Here is a 21,721-nt window from a genome sequence, read left to right as displayed (position 1 = left end):
ATTCATCTCACATTAAAAAAATGCATCCATGTGTTTTCCATTCCCTGCAGTCGCAGGTTTATTTTTTATTATTTTCTTTTTTAGCAGACTCCTTCTCTGGAATGGCATCTTACCAAGAACCCTGCTATTGGCAACAGTGTCACACTTGCTATCTGGGACAGTATTCTGGTTGGCCAGTGGACTGAGAACAGGTGGGCAGAGCAGTGAAGAGCGTGGAGGGAGACGCAGCCACCCAGTTCACATTGCGAATTGCCTCCTCCTAGCTCTGTGAGCAGGGCAAGTGGCTCCACCTCTCTGCCCTTCGCTTCCTCCTCCATGGAAAGAATATGGTAATTCCAGCTCCCTCAGAGGTTTGTTGTAAGGATTCAATGAGATAATTTGCATAAAGTACTAAGAAGAGTGCCTGAATCACCAGGGCTCTCGGCAAGTGTGACCTTGGCTATCATTATCTGGAAGCCGCACCAGCACACGAGGCCCCAGGAAGAGTCTTTCACTGGCTTAAGGGTTGATGAGAATGACCTTGGTCTTGGATCCAGGAGTTCAGAAATGGATCTGGATCAGGAGGTGCTGGCTCAGAGAGCCTGAGGGTGAGGAAAGAAGATGTTTTGCTGCCCTGGAGTCTCCGTGTGCAGCCAGTCTAAGACCAGAACTCTGCAGTGACGGGGACACCTGGCCAGCTGAGGCCGCCCCTGCCTGGGGACAAGGCCATGCATATTGAGCTGGGTTCGCAGACATCGTCTTCTGCTCCCAGGAGATGTGATGTGTCCCTCAGTCCTCACCCCCACCACTGTGCAGGAGCTGGTGAGGCCTGAGCCCAGGAGGCTGCACATCCCGTTGGTCCCAGAGAATGTTGTCCATCTTGCCGCCCCGTTTTCCAACAATAAATTCTTTCTGTATCTGTTATGTGGGAAAACCCTACAGAGTTACTTGAAAAAGGAAGCCAAGTGGCATCTCGTCAGGTCTTTCTGTCACTCTATGCCTATTATTGTCAGTTGTCGATATAGCTAAGTGGCCTAGAGCACACACGCTTTTCCTTTGTTTGCATGTTTATTTGGGAAGGTTTGGGGACAGCTGATGCACACAGGGTGGGAGGTAACTACAGCCCCCTCAAGCCACTCATTAGCTCCTGCAAATGTCACCTGGCAGAGAGCAGAGGCTGCAGGGACACAGTCCGGGTGAGGGCCCTGAGTGCTGGCCTCCTCCTTCCTTCACTTCTCCCTGCCTTGGCCTGGTGGTCTCTTCTCAGAGCCCTAGAGCCCTGCGGGACACAATGTGAATTCCACCGCCCCATGAAAAAAATTCCAACTCTTTGAGGATGACAATCAAGATCCTCTATGAACAAGTTGTCTCAGGATTCACTTCCTGCTGCAGGCAACATCCCTTCCGGGTTCTTTCCTTCCACAAGTCCCCAGACGTGGGTCTGTCAAGGTTTATTCTTTCAAAGCCAACAAGGCTCAGGTGTCCCCCAATAAGCAAAGACTTTAGAAATGATAATCCCTTCTCCCGTGTCCCCACAGAACTTTTCTTTTTTCTTTTTTGAGATGGAGTTTCGCTCTTGTTGCCAGGCTGGAGTGCAGTGGCGCGATCTCAGGCTCATTGCAACCTCTGCCTCCCGGGTTCAAGCGATTCTCCTGCCTCTGCCTCCCAAGTAGCTAGTACTATAGGCGTGCGCCGCCATGCCCAGCTACTTTTGTATTTTTAGTGGAGATGGGGTTTCACCATGTTGGTCAGGCTGGTCTTGAACTCCTGACCTCAGGTGATCCACCTGCCTCGGCCTCCCAAAGTGCTGGGATTATAGGCAGGAGCCACCATGCCCGGCCTCCACAGCACTTTTTATATGTGTCCATTACACCACCGCCTACACTGCATGGAGATGATGGGTTTATTTCCTACTGCCCCAGAAGTCTGTGGGTCATGCAGACTTTCTAAGAAAGTTACTTAAACCCCAGCAGGCAACCAAAGCAAAAATGGACAAATGGGATCACATCAAGTTCAAAAGCTTCTGCACAGCAAAGAAAACAATGAGCAAAGTGAAGAAACAACCCACAGAATGGGAGAAAATATCTGCAAACTACACATCTGGCAAGGAATTAATAAACAGACTATATCAGAAACTCAAACAACTCAACAAGAAAAAAATCTAATAATCCAATTAAAAACCAGGCAAAAGATCTGAAACGACATTTCTCAAAAGTAGACATACAAATGGCTAACAGGTCTATGAAAAGGTGCTCCAATCACTGATCACAGAAACGCAGATCAAAACTACAATGAGATATCGTGTCACCCCAGTTCAAATGGTTTTAATCCAAAAGACAGGCAGTAACAAATGCTGGCGAGGATATGGAGAAAAGGGAAGCCTTGTACACTGTTGATGGGAATGTAAATTCACACAACCACTGTGGAGAAAATTTGGACGTTTCTCAAAAAACTAAAAATAGAGCTACCATATGATCCAGCAATCCCACTGCTGGGTATATACCCGAAAGAAAGAAAATCAGTATATTGAAGAGAGATCCACACTCCCACGTTTACTGCAGTGCTATTTGCAACAACCAAGATTTGGAAGCAACCTAAATGTCCACCAACAGATGAATGGGTATAGAAAATGTGGTACATATACACAGTGGGGTACTATTCAGCCATTAATAAGAAAAGAGCCTGTCATTTGCAACAACATGGATGGAACTGGAGGCCACTATGTTAAGTGAAATACAACAAGCACAGAAAGACAAACATCTCATGTTCTCACTTATTTGTGGGAGCTAAAAATGAAAACAATTGAACTCATGGAGACAGAGAGTAGAATGATAGTTACCAGAGGCTGAGAAGGGTAGTGGAGGGAGGAGGGCGGAGGAAGGGATGGCTAATGGGTACAAAAAATAGCAAGAATGAATAAGATATGGTATTTGATAGCAAAAAAAAAAAAAAAAAAAGAAAGTTGACGTATCTTTTTTTTTTAATGTTACATCAGGCTGGGCGTGCTGGCTCACGCCTGTAATCCTAGCACTTTGAGAGGCTGAGGTGGAGAGATCACCTAAGGTCAGGAATTCGAGACCAGCCTGGCCAACGTGGTGAAACCCGTCTTTACTAAAAACACAAAAATTACCTGGGCGTGGTGGTGGGCGCCTGTAATCCCAGCTACTCGGGAGGCTGAGGCAGAAGAATCGCTTGAACCCAGGAGGCAGAGGTTGTAGTGAGCCAAGATCGCACCACTGCACTCCAGCCTGGGCAAGAGAGCGAGACTCTGTCCCAAAAAGAAAAAAGAAAAAAAAGAAAGTGACTCATCAGCTACACTATTAACAGTGTTAATTCGGTGGTCACCGAACTGTAATGTATATAGTGAAGTGTTTAAGATGCTTTTTTAAATAATATTCTTATAATGCTATGTCTTATCTCAGAATACCCAAGACCTATCCCAGTGCTTGGCAACAGGACAATAATCCCTGTATGTAAAGATTGCATGTATCTTTCCACCCTAACAGGAAGGTCTGGAAGGATAAGCTCCAAGCTCATCACAATGGTGACCTCAGGGGATGGGAATGGAGGTGACAGCGATGGCCAAAGAGATGCTTAACTTAATGTCTAAAGGCTTATATTGAGAATGTCTTCATGTATTACTTGTATCTTCTAAAAAATTTTTTAAATAATAGCAGCTGTAGTAGGTCGAACGGTGTCCTCCAAAAAGATATGTCCACATCCTAAGCCTCAGAACCTATAAATGTGACTTGTAAATGTGGAAAAAGGTGTCTTTGCAGATGTAATTCAGACTCTTGAGATGAGAACATCCTAGATTATCCAGGTAGGCCCTAAATCCCATGGCAGGTGTCCTTATAAGAGAGATACAGAGAGGCACCAGAGAGAAGCAGGAGAAGGCCAAGTAAAGACAAAGGCAGAGATTGGTGTGACACGGCCATAAACCAAGGGATGCCTGGAGCCACCCGAGGCTAGAAGAGACAGGGAAGGATCTTCCCCTAGAGCCTCCAGGGGGAACACAGCCCTGCCACTGCTGGCACCGTGATTGCCGACTCTGGCCTCCAGAACTGCGAGCAAATAAACGTATGTTGTTTTAAGCCAGCACGTTTATGGTAATTGGTTACAGCAGCTCTAAGAAACTAACACTGGCAGCTAACATCAGGTAACCGCATGCTCAGCACCAGGCCCTGCGTTACGCATTTTTCTATACATCATCCTCCTAAGGAGTAGATATCATGATCATTCTCATTTTACTGATGGGGAAATAGACTCAGAGAGTTGACTTAACTTGCTCAAGGGCACAGGGCTCTAAGTGGCACAGTGAGGACTGGAAGCAGGCAGTGTGGGCTCCAGAGTCCACGCACTAGGTTATAACTCAACTTACAAGACCATGGCTGTGGGGTCCGACGGAGCAAGGTTCACACCATGACTCTGCTATCTTAACAAAAGCACCTGACCTCTCTAACCTTCGCTTTTCTCAGTTAGAAAACAGGGAAATACGACTTCCCTGCTGGTGGAGTAATGAAAATTGAGTTTGGTGTCGTCTATCGCAGGTCCTCATGGCGCTCGGCAAATACCTCCTGAATGAATGAGAGGTAGGGGTCAAATAGGGTTGCTGCCTCCCTTGATGTGGAACCCGGGTGTTATTCATTGGCAGGGGTGGTCATTTCAGATGGCTGGGTTTTGGAAGCTGCTTGAAGACATATTCCTCATGATGAACGTGATGACTTTAGGTACAAATCATTTTCTAAATTCATTTGCACAACTGTATCCACTACTCTATGAGCTCTTAGAAATGCCGGATGTGTGGGTGGGGTGGGTAGATGGATGACGGGAGTGGGGGTGAATGGGAGGATGCATGATGGGTGAGTGGGTGAGTGGATGGATAATGGGTGAGTGGATGGATGATGGGTGGGTGGATGGATGACAGATGGTAGATGATGGGTGGGTGGGTGGCTGGATGATGGGTGCATGGATGGATGATGGGTGGGGTGGGTTGCTGGGTGGATAGGTGGATGGACGATGGGTGGGTGGGTGGTGGGGGGATGGATGATAGATGATGGGTGGGGTGGGTGGGTGGGTGGATAGGTGGATGAATGATGGGTGGGTGGGTGGATGGATGATGGATGGGTGGATGGATGAGTGAGTGGGTGGGTGGATGATGGGTGGGTGGCTGGGTGGATAGGTGGATGGATGATGGGGGGTTGGTGGATGAATGATGGGTGGGTGGGTGGATGAGTGGGTGGGTGGCTAGGTGGATAGGTGGATGGATGATGGGTGGGTAGATGAATGATGGATGGGTGGGTGGGTGGATGATGGGTGGGTGAGTGGATGGATGATGAGTGGGTGGGTGGATGATGGGTCGGTGGGTGGGTGGCTGGATGATGGGTTGGTTGGTGAGATGAACGATGGGTGGGTGGGTAGATGGATAATGGGTGGGTGGATGGGTGGTGGGCAGATGCGTGGATGGATGGTGGGTGGTAGGTGGATAGGTAGATGGATGAGGGGTGGGTGGGTGGGTGGATGGTAGGTGGGTCGGTGGGTGGATGGTGGGTGGGTGGATGGATGGATGGTGGGTGGATGGATGGATGGTGGGTGGGTGGGTGGGTGGATGGATGGTGGGTGGGTGGGTGGATGGATGGTGGGTGGGTGGATGGATGGTAGGTGGGTAGATGGATGGTAGGTGGGTGGATGGATGGTGGGTGGGTGGATGGTGGGTGGGTGGATGGATGGTGGGTGGGTGGATGGATGGATGGTGGGTGGATGAAATTGATGGATGGGTGGATGGATGGATGGTGGATGGATGGATGGTGGGTGGATGGATGGATGGTGGGTAGGTGGATGGATGGTGGGTGGATGGATAGATGGTGGGTGGATGGATAGATGGTGGGTGGGTGGGTGGGTGGATGGATGGCGGGTGGATGGATGGATGGTGTGTGGGTGGATGGGTGGATGGATGGATGGTGGGTGGGTGGATGGATGGTGGGTGGATGGATGGATGGATGGCGGGTGGATGGAATTGATGGTTGGTGGGTGGATGGGTGGATGGTGGATGGATGGATGGTGGGTGGGTGGATGGATGGTGGGTGGATGGATGGATGGTGGGTGGGTGGATGGATGGATGGTGGATGGGTGGATGGATGGTGGGTGGGTGGATGGATGGATGGTGGGTGGATGGATGGATGGTGGGTGGTAGGTGGACAGGTGGATGGATGAGGGGTGGGTAGGTGGATAGGTGGATGGATGGTGGGTGGGTGGATGGATGGTGGGTGGATGGATGGTGGGTGGTAGGTAGCTAGGTGGATGGATGAGGGGTGGGTGGGTGGGTGGATGGATGAGGGGTGGGTGGGTGGGTGGATAAGTGGAGGGATGACAGGTGAAGGGATGGGTGGGTGGGGGGTATGGGTGGGTGGATGATAGGTGGGTGGTTGGGTGTTGGGGGGTAGATGAGAACAGTCTGGACAGGTAAGTGGCCTTCCTCAACCTCAGATTGTCTAAGCCTGTACCCTCCTGATCCAGTTACATTTCTGAACCCCTGGAACCGAGACCAAGGTCATTCTGATCAGCCCTTAGGTCAGCTAAGGACTCTTCCTGGGGTCTCATGTGCTGGTGCAGCTTCCAGATAATTCCATTCTGCAAGGTTAAGAAATTAGGGCATTGGCAGCAGAAAGTAAGAGGGAATTCTTAGGAGTTCTGTCTTCAAACACCAAGAGGTCATATACCAGAATCTGCCTCCTGGACAACTTGCTCTGTGACATTCAATACTGAAGCCTAGCAGTAATTCCAAAAAAGTACCTTCCAGAAATATTCATATGGAAAAGTTAACACATGCCCCCAAACACACACACCAGTGCCTCCCATCAGCAGCTAAACAACAGTCTCATCACTGCTGGGCAGGCCCCACTCACCGGGATCGATGACTTAGGAAGCCAATCACCAAAACCCTCAATTAGAGCCCTGACCTGTTGCTCACAGTGATCAAACCCAAGCAGCAGCCCTGCCAGAGAGAAATCAGCCTCATTTCTCATCTCTTCTGTCAATAAGCAATAAACAACAAAGTTCTGCTCATTGAAAATGCCAGGCATAGTGCAATTAACATCCCTTTTATAATCACCTCCCTTTATCACTGCTTCCCCAATACCCTTTTGAAACTGATGACTCTTTGAGAAGATGTTTTTGGAACTGAGTCAAAGTGGCTAAAGGGCACAGTCCTGGACCCATGGCCTGCCCTGCTTCTAACAAGCTGAGTGGCAGCAGCCAAGTCATTTCCCTGCTCTGAGCTTCAATTTCTTCCCTAAAGAAAGGAAAATGGCTGGGAATAGTGGCTCACGCCTGTAATCCCAATACTTTTAGGAGGCCAAGGCAGGTAGATCGCTTAAGCCCAGGAGTTAAAGATCAACCTGGGCAACATACGGAGACCCCCAACTCTACAAAAAAATTTTTAATTAGCCAGGCATGGTCACAGCTATTTAGGAGCCTGAAGTGGGAGGATAATTTTACCCCAGGAGGGTGAGGCTGCAGGGACTCACCACTACACCCCTGCTTGAGAAAAAGAGCAAGACCTTGTCTCAAAAATAAATAAGTTCATTATCTATTTTTTTAAGAAAAGGAAGAAAAGAAGGGGCAGGAAACAGGAGTGGAGTATGGCTGTCTGCTGCCCCCACCTCCACTCTCCTGTTGGGAAACCATCCTTCCAAGAGATGTGATCCAAGGGTGAGCACTAACTGACTTCAGTCAATCAGCATATCTTGTCCTTCTGGCCGTAGTAACTGGTTCAGGATGGGTCAATTAACTAACATGGTTCAGAGTGAATCTGGGGGTTTCTGCTGGCAACCCTGGGCAGAGACTTGCTCTTTCTCTTGAGTCTAAACAGCCTGAGAACACTGCAGCGACTGCTGTTTCCATGAGGGGAGACGGACTGGGCTGGGGGAGCGGAAGGGAGCAGTGAGAACGGAGTCAGGCAGAAATGTACCAGGTTTCCATGATATCCCAGGTCTCTGGGTCACCGTGAAGCTGACACTTGCTGCTATGGTTGGCATGCCTGCTCCCTCCAAACCTCATGTTGAAATTCATCCCCCAATGTTGGAAGTGGGGCCACATGAGAGGTGTTTGGGTGCTGGGGACCGAGCCCTCTCGGCTCACTGCAACCTCCACCTCTCAGGTTCAAATGATTCTCCTGACTCACCCTCTTGAGTAGCTGGGACTACAGGCACACATCACCACACCCGGCTAATTTTTGTATTTTTAGTAGAAACAAGGTTCACCATATTGGCTAGGCTGGTCTTGAACTCCTGACCTCAGGTAATCCGCCTGCCTCAGCCTCCTAAAGCGCTGGGATTACAGGCATGAGCCACCGCACCTGGCCTCTATTTATTTCTCCAAGAGCTGGTTGTTTTAAAGAACCTGGCACCTCCCCACTCTCTTGCTTTCACTCTTATCGATGTGATCTCTGCACATACCAGCTCCCCTCTGCCTTCTGCTGCCACGAGTGGAAACACCCTCACCAGATGCAGATACCCAATCTTGAACTTTCCAGTCATCAGAATCGTGAGCCAAATAAAACTTTTCCTCATAAATTACCCAGTGTCAGGCATTCCTTTGCAGCAACACAAAACACAATGAGGCACTCACCTACCTCTGGACTTTCTTAGTATCTAATATAAAAAATTCCTTGTTTTGCAGAGGCCAGTTTGTACTGGCTTCTCTGTTTCTTCCACTGGAATCATCCTAATACAAAAACCATGATCCCAAAGGCCTCATCCAGCTCCAGCATTTATTTTATTTGTAAGATTTCCTAACCATGCCAAGGCCTGAAAATGAAAACCCAAAGGAAAACCCTCAATCCCTGTTGCCAAGGAGAGATTGTGGACTATTTAAGGCCACAGACCATGGCAGTCTTCTCTTTGATCCTGAGTTCAAAGCACGGTACCTACAACTCAGGAAACTGAAAAACTCAACACACATGGGCTAAATGAGTGGCTCAGGAAGACAAAGGTTTTGTAAACTGCAGGCCCGAGATAAGCTTTAGTTCTCTAATCAGCATCATTCCCATCACCACCGTAACCACCATCAGCACTACTATCTGTTGATTGCCTACTACGTACCGGGCGCACACATCTCTGCATCTATTACCTGCCTGAAGCCTCATAACCTACCCGTTGAGTGATCAAGACCGCTCACAAGTAACTATGCTCTCTCTTTCCAGGAGCCTGGGAGACTGCCCCTCCCCACCCACCTGCAGTTAGATGTGTCTGTGGAACTTGCTTTACCATTGAAATAAGAGAGATGTGACATGTAATTTCTGGGTGGAAGCTTTAAGAGTCAGAATGTGCTTGGCCAATGTCTCCTGCCCCTCTGCCACAACCTGGGTCTGCAGGTGAGGATGGTGACAACACAGAGCAGTGGCCCAGCCAACTTCACGAAGGACAAGTGACATGAAAGAGACAGAAATCTATGTGTTTTCTGTTCAGGACATTACGGGATTCTTACTGCAGTGCAACTGAACCTACGTTGACTAATATACTACACCCTGTTTTACAGCTGTGAAAACTGAGGCTCAGAGACGTAAAGCTCCTTGCCTGAAACCACATAGTTACTGCAGCAGAAAGGCTTGTATAGGCCTGGAGAACACAGAAAGTCTGGCCATTCTTTCCCAGGTCCTTGATCCCCGTCTTCACCCCAGCTGATTTGGGGCTTTCAATGGAAGCCTTGCCCACATTCTCCTGGTTAGAAAACCCCAGAACCAGAAAAACCTCTGGACCTCAGAAACCAACAGCCAAGACAGAGTAAAATTCACAGAAACCAAGTTCCCCAAACCAACCCTCAAGACATGAAATTACAGACATGTGAGACAATATACAATGTAGGATAGAACGGGGCAAAGAGACAGAGGAAAGAGAAGGGAAACAAAGTACGTTATTGAAGAAGAGGCCAGGGTGAGTCAGTCTGCAGAAACTCCTGCCATAGAATTGTTCTTTTTTTTTTTTTTTTTTTTTTGAGACAGAGTCTTGGTTTGTTGCCCAGGCTGGAGTGCAGTGGTGCGATCTCGGCTCACTGCAACCTCTGCCTCCCAGGTTCAAGCAATTCTCCCTGCCTCCGCCTCCTGAGTAGCTGGGATTATAGGTGCCAGCCGCCATGCCCAGCTAATTTTTGTATTTTTAGTAGAGATGGGGTTTCTCCATGTTGGCCAGACTAGTCTCAAACTCCTGACCTCAAATGATCCACCTGCCTCGGCCTCCCAAAGTGTTGAGATTACAGGTATGAGCCACCATGCCTGGCCCCTGCCACAGATTTTCAATACGACCAATCAATCATTCCTACATAATCAATTACAGGGAAGCAGTAATTTTGGCTCAGATGATTTGTGACCAAAGTACAGTGCAAACACGGTTGTAAGACTCACTTCGTCCATAAAATAACTAGCGATTGCTCGGCTTCACCTGGCATTCAGCCTGTGACAACTCGCTCCCGGGGGGCCAGTAAAGGTGCCAGGGACGTGGCGTGGGGGCTGTCTTCAGTGATATTCCTGTGGTGTGCAGCCTTCTAAAACAGACCCCGTGGCTCCGGTTCCTGGTCCTCACCTCCTGGGTAATCCCCTGAGTGTGGCTTGGCCCTAGTGACTTGCCTCTGTCCTAATGAACAGATTAGAGTAGAATATAGTAGAAATCATGGAATGCCACTTTTTTTTTTTTTTTTTTTTTGAGACGGAGTCTCGCTCTGTCACCCAGACTGGAATGTAGTGGGTCGATCTTGGCTCACTGCAACCTCCGCCTCCCGGGCTCAAGTGATTCTCCTGCCTCAGCCTCCTGAGTAGCTGGGATCACAGGCGTGTGTAACTACCGCCTGGCTAATTTTTGTGTTTTTAGTAGAGATGGGGCTTCACCATGTTGGCCAGGCTGGTCTCGAACTCCTGACCTCAAATGCACCCCCACCTTAGCCTCCCAAAATGCTAGAATTACAGGCGTGAGCCACTGCTCCCGGCCAGAATGCTACCTCTAAAGCTTAGACTACAAAACACCCTGATTCCCATTTAGTTGGTCTCTCTCTTTTGCTTTCTTTGGCCGCAGTGAAGAGGCCTGGATAGGCAAGAAACCGAGGGTGGCCTCCAGTCAACAGCTGGAGAGTAACTGAGGCCCTCAGTCCAAGAGTCCGTAAGAAACTGAATCCTGCCAACAACCACACGGGTTAGCTTGGACGCAGATCCTTCCCTAGGAGAGCCCTGAGGTGTCTGCAGTCACCGGCTGAGGCTGTGGTTGCAGCCTGGGAGAGACCCTGGAGAGAGAACCAGCTGAGTGGCACGAGGACTCCAGGCCCACAGAAACTGTGAGATGGTAAATGCTGTCACTGCCAAATGTCCTTTTTCCTCTCAGTGTTGGGACAATTTGTTACACAGAGAAAGATACAATCACTAAATTGTACCTTTTAGCTATTTCTAAATTGTTTCATTTAGCTATTTCTGCTGTTTGCACTTAATGAGTCATTGGCATAATGTCAAATCATTCCCAATGAGTCTATGGGCGCCAAAATAATGGGGGCTAAAACTGCAATCCATGGATAAAATCTAGAGGAGTGTTCCCCAAACCCCGGTGCATCACAAAGCACCACCAGGATTCTTGCTACACTCGCCTCCCACTTGCACTGTTGCTGAATAACGTTGCCTTTTCAATCCATGCATTTTTTTTTAAGACAGGGTCTCACTATGTTGCCCAGGCTAGTCTGGAGCTCCTGGGCTCAAGTGACCCTGGGGTGGGATTACACCATTCATCTTTTTTCACTTATAACATTTACTTAAAAAGGAAAGTATGTATCACTCTAGCAAACAGAAAGCCAGTATCACTAGAAGGCAACTGGATCTGATGAAAGCCAAATGTCATTAAATCCTAAGTGTTAGTGGTTCTCAACCTCAGGAGCATCAGAATCATGCAAAACAGTGAGAGGTGCCCAGGTCCCATTGAAGAGATTCTCCTGCAGCTGATCTGGGGGTGAGCCTTGGCCTCAAGGCGTCTGGACTTTCTGAGCGGAGTCTACTGCAGCCGCATCTGAGAGCTCGGAACTTCCCAGTGGCCGACGGCACCATGACCCAGAGGCCCACACTCACTTTGTCAGGGTCTCCAAGAGTTAAAGCCGGGCTAGCATCAACCTCAGACCTCACCAGCATGGCCAAAAGGAAAAGGGGAACACCTTCCCAAGCAGAGCCCATATTATTCAACACCTGACCCTGAGACATCTAACATCACTCTACGATCACCAGGGCTACACGCCTCGTACTCCACACAGACAGACCCGAGAGCTGGACAGAGGCGTCTCTTTGGGCAGTCCTCTGTGGAAGTGACTGATCAAAATAAAGACATTCTGAGCAACAGACACTTGTAGGTTACTGCATCTGGTGAGGGACTGGATTCAGTCATTATAGCTCAGCTCACATGGTGTCTCCTCCACCAGGCTGCAGACTGTGTGAGTCCAGGGGACAGTGACCAAGGCCTGCTCTCTGCATCCCTGATGCCTAGGTCAGTCCCTGGCGTAGGGAAGACACTATTAGCATCCAATGAATAAATAGGTGAAGTGTCATCCAAACTGGATCTTGGGGAATGGGCTAGACACAGCCCACCATCCAGTGGGGAGAAGTGGTATTCCAGAGGGGACCTGGAGGAGCAGGGCCAAACCTCTGCTAGCCAGCCCTTGCTCCTCCACCATTAGCTTCCCCAGTTAAGCCCTGGCTTATTCCAACAGCCACTGCTGAAGGCACCAGTTCTCTCTGTGACTGATGGATAATTTCATACCCAAATTGGAAACCACTTAAATTGAGACATCAGGAAAACCAGAGGCGGGCAACATATGATATCTCTTTATATTTGACAGCAAGTAAAATGTGAAAACAGCAGTGTTGACCATCTTGAGACAAATAAACCCACAGTCCCTTGGTGGTTTGTGGGGCAGGCACAGAATGCTTCATTTCAGCCAAATTCACCATGTGTGTTCAGGGCATCGGTAGTCAGGATGCTAAGGTGAAAAGCGGGAACTAAGATTCACGCATTCAGCCAATGCTTTATACTCTGTATCAGGTGCTGGGGACACAGCCATACATAAAATGGACAAAGGAGAGAGCAAATAAACAACTCTATGCCAAGTAGCATTAGTATTATGAGGAAAAATAAAGCAGGAGAGTGCTATTTTAACCAAGTTTATGATATAAGCTGATATTTTATTCCCTACTTTGGATGATTTAGAGGCATTTACTGTTTAAAACCTCATACAACTCTCTTTGGTGGGCATTCCTAGACCCATTTAAAGATGAGGATATGGGCCAGGCATAGCAGCTCATATACTTGTAATCCCAGCACTATGGGAGGCCGAGGCAGGAGGATCACTTGAGCCCAGGAGTTTGAGACCAGCCTGGGCCATATAGTGAAACCCCATCTCTATAAAAATTTGAGTTAGCCAAGTGTGGTGGTGCATGCCTGTAATCCCAGCTACTCAGGAGGCTGAGGTGGGAGGACTGCTTGAGCCCACAAGTCGGAGGCTGCAGCGAGCTATGACTGCACCACTGCACTCCAGTCTGGGCAACACAGCGAGACTGTCTCTTAAAAAAATTAAAAATACAAAATGTAAAGAAATAAAGGTGAGGACATGAAGACTCTAAAAAGAGACTTACAGCTCCATCTCCTACTAATCATGGGGACATGGAGACTTGGGGATATTGCCTACCTTATCTGTGCCTTAGTCTTGTCATCTCTAAAATGGAGACATGAGAACCTACATCAGTGCTTGCTACTACATGCACAGCTCATGGAATAGGATTTGGTATGTAATAAGTGCCAGTATACCTGTCTGCAGGTAGGAGTGTAAATGACACTCCCACTTTCAAGAACTTCATTATCTCATGGAGAAGCCACAGGATACATCCATGAAACTAGCAATGAGAATATTGTGAGCAAACCATGTCGATTGATACCACCATTCCCGCTGCCTAACAGGCCCATCTTCCTGATCAACTTCAACTCATCCTTAAAAACTCAAGTCAAACGTCTCCTCTTTGAAACCTTCCATGACATACCCCAGCAGGTAACTAACCCCACCATTGTGCCATCATTATACTTGATACCTACAGAATTCTATTTCTTACTCATTGCTCATTCTTTCATTCAACTACTGTGCATCAACAGCCTGCCATCTACCACCCCCTCATGAACCTCCAGGGCAAGGTATGTTTAGTATGTCTGTGTCTTCCACCGACGACAAACTTCTTGGGGGCCAAATAACTGAGTGTAGCTCAACGGAATTAATTAACTAATGAATAAACAAAGAACAACATAAGATTAGACAAAGTGAGCGGTCCAGAGGGGAAGAGGATTACAGGAATTTAAAGAACATTAGAAACGTACCTACCAAAACTCACTATTGACAGCGCCACTAGGGGCTTTCTCAAAGAATGAATGACACCTTGAAGGATGGGGAAGATTTGGAAGAGTGTGAAAGAGGAGGAAGTCGACATATATTCATGACTGAAGAATGCAAAGTCTCAAAACAATCTGAACAGTATAAATTATCCCATTTGTGTTAAAAATAGATGTGCGTTAGGCATGTGTGTGTGTATATATATGCCTGCCTATATGCAAATGCATAAAAAATACCTGGAAGGGTATATACCAAACGCTTCACAGCAGGATCGCTAGGAGGGAACACTTGTCTTTTGTACTCTAGATAGTTGTGCATTATTTATATTCTTTCAGAAATGTATTTTTATATTATTTATATAACTTAGAAAAAATGTTAAACCATGTCTTCTAAAAGACAAATGGTGAAAATGCAGAGCGATGGAAGTAGAAGGAACAGGAGGAGCAAATGCTGAGGGACAGGACTCGGTGGAGAAAGAGCAGACGAAAAGACATAGGGCGAAGGCGAGAGTCAGGTCCTGCTTCGCCATCTGCCATATTATTTTTAAAACAAAGCTAAAAAATATCTGCGTTGCATTGCAGCACTGGGGGCAAGAGTTGGCTGCAAGCTTTGCTCTAACAGGACAGTGTGGCGATTCCCACAGGAGGCCCACACACTCAGGCTGGCATAGGCAATGACACCCTGGACAGGAGAAACGAAAGGAAGCCACTCTCCCCGAACAGAAATAAAAATCTGGCTGGGTGCAGTGGCTCACGCCTATAATCCCAGCACTTTGGGAGGCTGAGGCAGGATTGCTTGAGCCCAGAAGTTCGAGACCAGTATGGGCAACATAGAAAGACCCTGTCTCTACAAAAAAATTTTAAAAATAACAAAATTAGCCAGGCATGGTGGTATGCACCTATAGTGCCAGCTTCTCCGGAGCCTGAAGTGCAAGGATCGCTGAGCCCAGGAGTTTGAGGCTGCAGTGAGCTATAAGTACACCACTGCCCTCCAGCCTGAGGGACAGAGAAAGACCCTGTCTCTATTTAGGAAAGAGGAAAGGAAGGAAAGAGGGAAGGAAGGGAGGGAGGGAGGAGGGAAGAGAGAAAGAAAGGAAGGAAGGAAGGAAGGTTGGTCCAAAGGAGCTTGAAGTTCTTCCAACTTTATCAAAAGCCTTGGCTGATCCCCAACGCCTGGCTGGCAACATCAGTTGCATCCCCAACCACCGCTTTGAGATGGACAAGGCCCTCCATTTTCGAATATCTGGGAGAACACCATCTGAACTCTGATCAACAAAATCACCTTCCTCAGAAACCAGGACGGCAGCTCTGCAGACCTCATGGGCAAGAAAGCTGTGGCCCAAGAACACTGGGGTGTAGGTAATACCAAGGTGGTGCCCACCCCTCAAGAAGAGGTTATTTCCAGAAGAACAGGTCAAAGGGAGCCAATGGCTTGGCTTTTTGCAACTAAATCAGGGATCCCTTTACCAAAACATATCTATTCCCATCTAATCACATAACGTGCTGGTCGCCCAGAAAAGAGACAGCAATGAATCTAGGCACAAACTGCTCTGGTTCCCACAGACCAGCTGGCCAGGGAACCAAACTCCATGAAACACACAGCGAAACAGCATTGACTTTTACTAGGAGATTATATAAACTCATTTCAGGGAGATGGGGAAGCCTCCCAGAACACGCCGGAAGATGCCCTTGGTGCTGCTCAGTGCCTCGCCCAAAGTGCCTACGTGACTGATGGCCCAAGAGACAAGGAAGCAGAGATGTACCTTCATTTATTTGTTTTGAGACGGAGTTTCGCTCTGTCACCCAGGCTGAAGTATAATGGCACAATCTCCACTTGCTGCAACCTCCACCTCCCAGGTTCAAGCAATTATCCTGCCTCACCCTCCCAAGTAGCTGGGATTACAGGCACTTGCCATCAAACCCAGCTAATTTTTGTATTTTTAGTAGAGATGGGTTTTCACCACGTTGGCCAGGCTGGTCTCGAACTCCTGACCTCAGGTGATCCGCTCGCCTTGGCCTCCCAAATGCTGGGATTACAGGTGTGAGCCACCGCACCCAGCCACCTTTATTTTTGTTGTTGATTGTTTTTTGTTTTTGTTTTTGTTTTGTTTTGTTTCTGAGATGGAGTCTTGCTCTGTCTCTCAGGCTAGAGTGCAATGGCACCATCTTGGCTCACTGCAGTCTCCACCTCCCGGATTTAAGCGATTCTTCTGCTTCAGCCTCCCGAGTAGCTGGGATTAAGGGCACATGCTACCACGCCCAGTTACTTTTTCGTATTTTTAGTAGAGACAGGGTTTCACCACGTTGGCCAGGCTGGTCTCAAACTCCTGCCTGACCTCAGGTGATCAGCCCACCTCAGCCTCCCAAAGTGCTGGGATTACAGGCATCAGCCACTGTGCCTGGCCTCAAAGAAAGATTTTTTCAAATAAGAAGAAATCGTTCAAAAAATACATAGAACATCAGATGCAACTTGTGCGGAAGGTGTGACTAACAAGAAGTGAACCCTCAATGCAGGGAAATAAATATATTAAATTAAGGAATAAGTATAATGTATTTAGTTAGAAGACTTGTACAACTATTAACATAATCATGTGGTTATTATGTATCCCTGGAAATACTGTGTGTGTTAATTTAGCAGAAATTGAACAAATTAACTTAGTATCTAGAGGGATGCGTCATAGCCAGTGAGATTTACAAGGTGGCACTGAGACAGAATGGAAAGCACTGGGAGGGTCCACATTTTTAGGATGACAGAAATGAAATGGTCAAGGACAGTGTCATCACCTGACCATGTACAGGAGAGGACCTGGCCCAGACCAGCTTCTAGAGGAGTCCCACGCGGTTGCCCCAGGCACAGGAACCCCTTTCCCATGCTCATGACATCATATTAAGATATGAACATGCGGCCGGGCACGGTGGCTCACGCCTGTAATCCCAGCACTTTGGGAGGCCAAGGTGGGTCGATCACTTGAGGCCAGGAGTTCAAGACCAGCCTGGCCAACATGGTGAAACCCCATCTTTACTAAAAATACAAAAATTAGCTGGGCACGGTGGCACACACCTGTAATCCCAGCTACTCGGGAGGCTAAGGCAGGAGAATTGCTTGAACCTAGGAGGCGGAGGTTGTAGTGAGCCGAGATCGAGCCACTGCACTCCAGTCTGAGTGACAGAGCAAAACTCCGTCTCAAAAAAAAAAAAAGATATGAACATGCTAATAACATGCATACCAGGCAGGAGCAAAGAACCAGGGTCTTGAGATTACTCCCTGTGGGAGAGGTGAGTGGAGTCTGGGGGCAGTTTCTATAAGAGACCAAGAATGAGATCAGAGGAAGCTTACTTATTCAATCAGAGCAGGCCTTCCTGCACCAATAATGAATGTGGGTCATGAGCTCAGGATTTTGATGAATCCATATCTGTGCACCCGGTTCAGATGAAATTCAAAGAACAGAGAGGCCATTTCAAGAAGGAATGGGTGGTAACTAAAATGAGAACAAGGGGCACGTGAGCCCCAGGAGAATCCTGGTGGCCGCTGCCTGTCACTTCTCCTGCAGGTGACGTTGTGAGCGGCAAACTCAAACCATGCATTCACAAACATATGCTGGAGAAGAGAAGACAGGACAGGTAGAACGGAGGGGTAAAAAGCTGCCTTCCAATCCCAGCTTCTATTCCTTCAGGATCAGTGGCAGGAAAGATCTCAGCATTATCCAAGCAGGACCTCTGTCTCCATGCCAAATAACCATGAAGTGAAGCCAGAGAGACACAAGTCACACAAAATATATTCTGGGCTTTGACCTTCTCAAAGGCAGGGACTGTATTTTCCACGTCTGCTACATCTCCGTAGTCTTCCTCACATTGGGTAAAGTGGCCACACAAAACACAGTGACCGACAGGCGATGTAAGCCAGTGTGGAAAATGCCTCTCTTGACTCACAGCTGAAGTCATTATAGAGTACCAAGTTTCTAAATCTTGATTATTTTGCACCTTGCCAATGCTTTCTATTTGCATCAACATAGGACCAGCTTTAAAGATAAGCTTGCATACACTGCATTTGCCAGCTGACACGAAACTTTGATCTTCAGGGAAGTGTAAAGTTCCACAGCTGGATGCCTTGGACAACCAAACTCCTCCACTCAAACCCTAGAGTCCAGCCCCTCATGGGTCCCCAGGGGAAACTGACCACCCATGGTGATGAGCAAGCCATGTAAAAGATGAGTTTCACACAAGTGCATCAGAAAAGAAAGCTCTGTGATATTAATACTTCCAACTCCCCCCAGGTGCAAGAAGCACCTGCATGAACAGCAAGGAGCATGTGATCACTTGGGGTATTTGGCCATGGTCAGGAAAACACAGCTAGGCCCAAAGAGATGCTTTTCTTCTCTCGATCTAGAGGTTTAAAGTGGGTTCCACAAGCATCTTTCCAAATAATTTTGTGTCAAAGGCTAATATTTCTGAGTTAAGCCTCTATGTGAGATATATTTTTAGTAGCCCCTCTTAAATGGCACTTTTAAAAATAATCTCCTTCAAGACGGCAGATGATTAAAACAGGGATGTCCAAGCGCTGAGTTAAAAAGCCTCTTATAATTTGGAACACGAAGTTTAACATTGCCGTGGGACAGGAGACAGTTTGGTACTTGATCATTAGCTATGCGGCAAGTGCCACCCGGCAGAAAAATAGATTTCTTATTAAGCTTTCATACTTAAATCGCATCAGCCCTCAAATGAGATCACTCCCTCCGAAGGTTTTAAAGAAACCAAGAAAGTCCCAGGGAGCATTTTATTGTATAGTGAATCTTATTACAAAACTTGGGATGGGGTTTTTCCATCTATCTCATCCCTGGATATGAAATTACTCATCTTTCTCTCCCATCAGCTCAGTCATCTCAGAGGAAGCAAGGTGCCCCAGGTAACACAGACGGCTCACAGCGAGGACCCACATGAGGTGTTATTGAGCAAGACAGGAAGGCAGCTTTCTGGATAATCGAACGTGCTAGTGAACAGAGTGTTGCCAGAGATACTCCAGGTGTACACTCAGATGTATACGTCATATGCTCCCTGAGTGATTACGTGTTCCAGGCTCTGAGGGTAGGAAAATGAAGACAACAGTCTCTGTCTCAGGGAAGCTCCAGGTCCACAGGGGAAAATGGAAGTCAACGCCAAGTGGTACTGCAGAGTGGCAAACAACACAGCACAAAGTGCTCCAGAAACACTCATCAGGGGTCAGCCATATGCTGGAAGGCAGGCAATGGCCCACTCCACAGGGACCCTCACAAAACACACAAGGCTTGGATGATGAAGGGGAGATGGAAAGGCTTTGTAGTTTTTCAGGGCAATTGTAATGAATGGCAATTATCATGGTAACATACAGCAATGTAAATCTTTATTAAACTGGAGACAATGGGAGAGTGGAAGGGAAGGGAGAGGGAGAGGATTGCAACCACAGAGAGAGAGAGTCAGGCAGGGGGAAGAGACAGACAGAGGAAAAGAAAGAGAGAGAGAGAGACAGAGGCAGAGACAAAGAAAGGAGCAGAGAGAGAAACAAAAGGAGAGAGAGGGAGAGAAAGACACAAAAGAAAAACAAAAAGAGAAGCACACAGAGACCAAAGAAGAAACAAAGACACGAAAACAGGAGGAGAAATGGAGAGAGTGGGAGAAAATGCAGAATATAAGAGACAGCCCAGGTGGCAGAGGCCCAAAGTTCCTGGGAAAGGCAGTGCTGTTCTAGACCAAACTCTGACCAGGCTGGTGAGTGGGTGGGAGGCCAGTTGGACCTGGGACTAAACACAGGCAGGCCCACTGCACCCCACAGCCACGCTATGTCACTTCCTCTCCTCCGGGCCCTGCAGACTCCATGCCAGGGCAGGCTCATGAGATAAGGCAGGCTCTGATGAGCTCCCTGCTAGCTAGTACATCAATAAAAAAACATGACATTTAATGGCCCTACCTTTCCCAGATGCACTCGTCGGAAAATAGCTCCATGACCATCTTCTTAGAGAAGATGTTCCTCAGGGAAATAATTCTGGAACATAATGACTGCAATAGTGTTCCTTGGGGAAATAATTTTGGGAAATGCTGCTGTACCTAGCCCATCCCTTTGGAGAAGCACGGAGCACCCCCGTGTGTGACCCTTGAGGGAAATCCCACAGTAAGGAAGACTATCAAACTATCTCTAATCCAACAGTTTTCAGGCTTACTGCATCACAGAACCCCAGGTCCTTTTTTAAAAATATATGAAGCAACTATGCAAACCCCCCACTCAATCATTGTTCTGATTTTTTTTTTTTTTTTTTTTTTTTTTTTGAGACAAGAGTCTCACTCTGACGCCCAGGCTGGAGTGCAGTGGCACGATCTCTGCTCACTGCAACCTCCACCTCCCGGGTTCATGCCATTGTCCTGCCTCAGCCTCCCGAGTAGCTGGGACTACAAGCGCCCGCCACCACGCATGGCTAATTTTTTGTATTTTTAGTAGAGACGGGGTTTCACCATGTTAGCCAGGATGGTCTCGATCTCCTGACCTCATGATCCGCCTGCCTCGGCCTCCCAAAGTGCTGGGATTACAGGCGTGAGCCACCGCGCCCGGCCCACTGTTCTGCTTTTGGGCAACTCTGCCTTCTCTAGATTACAAGTTTCCAAAGAGCCTTTTTTTTTTTTGGAGATGGAGTCTTGCTCTGTCACCCAGGCTGGAGTGTAGTTGCGTGATCTCGGCTCAATTGCAACCTCCGCCACCCGGGTTCAAGCGATTCTCCTGCCTCAGCCTCCCAAGCAGCCGTGATTACAGGCACGCACCACCATGCATGGCTAATTTTTGTATTTTGAGTAGAGATGGGGTTTCACCATGTTGGCCAGGCCGGTCTCGAACTCCTGACCTCAAGTGATCCTCCTGCCTCGGCCTCCCAAAGTGCTGAGATTACAGGCATGAGCCACCACGCCCGGCCTCCGAAGAGCCTGACATAAACACCATGTGATGAGTATGCTAAACACACACACACACACACACACACACACACACACACACAAATCCTGATGTATGAAGTGAGAAGGAGAGATAAGAAAGGGAGAGATTCACTTCGCAGATGAAGAATGGGCATGTTTAAGAGCTTCACCACAGAAGTATCTGAATGTTTAAAACCATCCAGAGTGCTGTGCCTGGAGCACAACAGACACCATATTTTGCTTGAAATTGGAAAACATAAAATAAAGAGTGAGCAGTGTGGTGGTATGGAACAAAAGAGTCCTGGGTTTACATTCAGGTGCTACCATGAAGCTGTGTGCCTTTGGGTGAGTCACAAAACCTCTCTGTACCTCAATTTGCTCAGCTGAAAAATGGGCCTAATAAGAAAATTATAAGGACTGCC

General features: G+C 47.8%; 1 protein-coding gene and 2 long non-coding RNA genes across 21 annotated transcripts in view, besides 1 other annotated feature; 1 reads left to right on the top strand and 2 right to left on the bottom strand.

The window, feature by feature from the left end:
* The window catches only part of SNX29 (sorting nexin 29), a 597,554-nt gene that overhangs the window by 187,579 nt on the left and 388,254 nt on the right, over window positions 1–21,721 (bottom strand). The window lies entirely within an intron of this gene.
* Window positions 221–721: an enhancer, noted in NCBI's record as "H3K4me1 hESC enhancer chr16:12479845-12480345 (GRCh37/hg19 assembly coordinates)". NCBI's record gives its function as "activates a minimal SCP1, AML or CMV promoter by ChIP-STARR-seq in naive H9 embryonic stem cells {active_cell/tissue: H9 hESC(naive)}" and the evidence as "EXISTENCE:reporter gene assay evidence [ECO:0000049][PMID:30033119]".
* On the bottom strand, window positions 10,662–16,203 carry LOC105371087 (uncharacterized). Its single transcript, XR_933083.4, has 3 exons — window positions 13,800–16,203; window positions 13,681–13,707; window positions 10,662–13,040 (listed from the first exon to the last, which is right to left on the bottom strand). It is a non-coding gene; the product is annotated as an uncharacterized LOC105371087 (long non-coding RNA).
* On the top strand, window positions 14,108–19,728 carry SNX29-AS2 (SNX29 antisense RNA 2). The gene is made up of 2 exons (NR_188406.1): window positions 14,108–14,177; window positions 19,240–19,728. It is a non-coding gene; the product is annotated as an SNX29 antisense RNA 2 (long non-coding RNA).

This window comes from Homo sapiens, chromosome 16 (assembly GCF_000001405.40).
Source record: "Homo sapiens chromosome 16, GRCh38.p14 Primary Assembly".
Taxonomy (NCBI): Eukaryota; Metazoa; Chordata; class Mammalia; order Primates; family Hominidae; genus Homo; species Homo sapiens.
The sequence above is the reverse complement of the archived record's forward strand: the minus strand, read 5'-3'. Positions and strand labels throughout refer to the sequence as shown.